This window comes from Homo sapiens, chromosome 10 (genome assembly GCF_000001405.40).
Source record: "Homo sapiens chromosome 10, GRCh38.p14 Primary Assembly".
Classification (NCBI taxonomy): domain Eukaryota; kingdom Metazoa; phylum Chordata; class Mammalia; order Primates; family Hominidae; genus Homo; species Homo sapiens.
The window spans coordinates 93,925,998-93,928,502 of record NC_000010.11 but is presented as its reverse complement, the minus strand read 5'-3'; the positions used below and the strand labels follow the sequence as shown (position 1 = coordinate 93,928,502).

Below are 2,505 nucleotides of genomic sequence, written 5' to 3'. Positions count from 1 at the left end.
CGGAGACTGCAGAACAGCAAATATTGCAGAATGGCAAATTTTGCTGCCTGATCCTTCCTCTGGAAGCTTGGTCTCAGAGGGGCATGTAGCCATATGAGGTGTCAGTCGGCCCCTACTGGGAGGTGCCTCCCATTTAGGCCCACTTGAGGAGGCAGTCTGTCTGTTCTCAGATCTCAAACTTTGTGCTGGGAGAACCACTACTCTCTTCAAAGCTGTCAGACAGGGACGTTTAAGTCTGCAGAAGTTTCTGCTGCCTTTTGTTCAGCTATGCCCTGCCCCCAGAGTTGGAGTCTACAGAGGCAGGCAGGCCTCCTTGAGCTGTGGTGGGCTCCACCCAGCCACTTTGTTTACCTACTCAAGCCTCAGCAATGGCAGACACCCCTCCCCCAGCCTCACTGCCGTCTTGCAGTTTGATCTCAGACAGCTGTGCTAGCAGTGAGCGAGGCTCCGTGGGTGTGTGGGACCCTCCAAGCCAGTCATGGGATATAATCTCCTGGTGTGCCATTCGCTAAGACTGGTGGAAAAACACAGTATTAGGGTGGGAGTGTCCCAATTTTCCAGGTACCATCTGTCACGGCTTCCCTTGGCTAGGAAAGTAAATTCCCCCACCCCTTGTGCTTCCTGGGTAAGGCAATGCCCCACCCTGCTTTGGCTCATGCTCCGTGGGCTACACCCACTGTCCAACAAGCCCCAGTGAGATGAACCCAGTACCTCAGTAGGAAATGCAGAAATCACCTGTCTTCTGCGTCGCTCACACTGGGAGCTGTAGACTGGAGCTGTTCCTATTCGGCCATCTTGGTACAACCGAGACAGACTCTTAAACTAATAATTAGAACACCCACTAGAACAATTACTGAGGTAAGAACAGGGCACTCCAGAAGGAGAAAAGGGGAAGAAACTCACTGTAACTGGGAGGTGAAAGTTTTTTGCTTTTTGTTTTTTTGAGATGGAGTCTTGCTCTATCACCAGGCTGGAGTGCAGTGGTGCGATCTTGGCTCACTGCAACCTCTGCTTCCCGGGCTCAAGCAATTCCCCTGCCTCAGCCTCCGAAGCAGCTGGGACTACAGGTGCCCGCCACCATGCCCAGCTAATTTTTTGTATTTTAGCAGAGATGGGGTTTCACCATGTTGGCCATGATGGTCTTGATCTCCTGACCTCGTGATCCGCCCACCTCGGGCTCCCAAAGGGCTGGGATTACAGGCATGAGCCACTGCGCCTGGCTGAGGTGAAAGGTTTCAAAGAGAGGTGAGTCTGAAAGAATAACTTGGAGGTGGAGAGAAGAGCCTTTGCCAAGCAGAGATGCTTCAAAAAGCTTGTGTGCTTAGAGACTCGGCTCTCCCCCTCTGTATTCACTATGCTTACGACATCACCTGTGGGCTACTTATGAGAGTGAATCTTTACAACGGCACATATGGGCTACTTATGAAAGTTAATCTTTTTTTTTCCTATACAGCTAATTTTCATTCTTCCTAGCAATACAGGAGGTCAGGGAGAAGGACTGGCAGGAAGGTTAAATTTTCTGTGGTCACACTGGCCTGTCAATACATGAAAGGTATAATAAAACAAAACACTGAGTGCCATAACATGTCTAAATTATAATTAAATACCTTGTAATCCATGCCAAGTTCTTCCCTTTATGGGTATAAATACATAATGATGATCTAGATTTATTTTGCTGGCATCTGACCATAATGAAATCAACTTGCATCGCTCTCATTTCCTTAATCCACTTCTAAATTCCTGCTAGGTAAGTCACAAGTTGGCTGGCATGTCTATGAGAAGAATAGATTCCTGGCTTGTTCTGGGTTTGCATGTGGCTGGCTTGGCTGGGGGAAACCTGTACCCCAGTAGGTGGTCTATTCCTATCTTTCTTCTCAAGGATCTGTCTGGGTTCTAGGTCTGGACCATTCACAGCTGAGTTCATTCTCTCACCATCCCAGGTGCCTGGTTGTGACAGGAAGAATCGGGTTCCTGGTCTGATTTTCGAGCCTTGCTCCTTGGACGAGCGGTGGGCATTTGTCTGGTTTGTTAATGGCCCTCTGCTTGCTCTACCCAGGCACTCTGGGGATGGCTGTAGAAAGATGTAAACTGAAAAGTTCTTCTGGCCCCCCTGGCTTCTTTGATCATCATCTGCTCATTTATTCAAAATTTCATTTTTAAATTCTGCAAGGATGATGTCTGCTAATGCCTAGTGCTGACACTGGCCTCAACCAGGACACAGAATCCTCTTGTTCCCTTAGGTTCAACATACACTGACTCAGGACCCTACAAGTGCTTGGAACAGAGTGTTCTCCTCAAATTCACCTACAATAAAGGTGATCCCCAAAAGCCCAGAAACCAGTAATTAAAAAGGAGCAAGAAACTGGGACTGGAATTGTTTGGGACAGGAAACTTAACATTTCATTTGTCTGTACTATGCAGTGTTTTGTTTTGTTTTTTCTAAACAAAGCATACCTATTAATTACATGAAAAAGAAAAAATAAATTCATTCTGAATTTTTAGCCT

General features: G+C 47.2%; 1 annotated feature.

Moving 5' to 3' along the window:
• Nucleotides 370-1,569: an enhancer, noted in NCBI's record as "MED14-independent group 3 enhancer chr10:95686691-95687890 (GRCh37/hg19 assembly coordinates)". NCBI's record gives its function as "activates an origin of replication core promoter dependent on BRD2, BRD4, P300/CBP and CDK7 cofactors, and independent of MED14, by STARR-seq in HCT116 cells {active_cell/tissue: HCT116}" and the evidence as "EXISTENCE:reporter gene assay evidence [ECO:0000049][PMID:35650434]".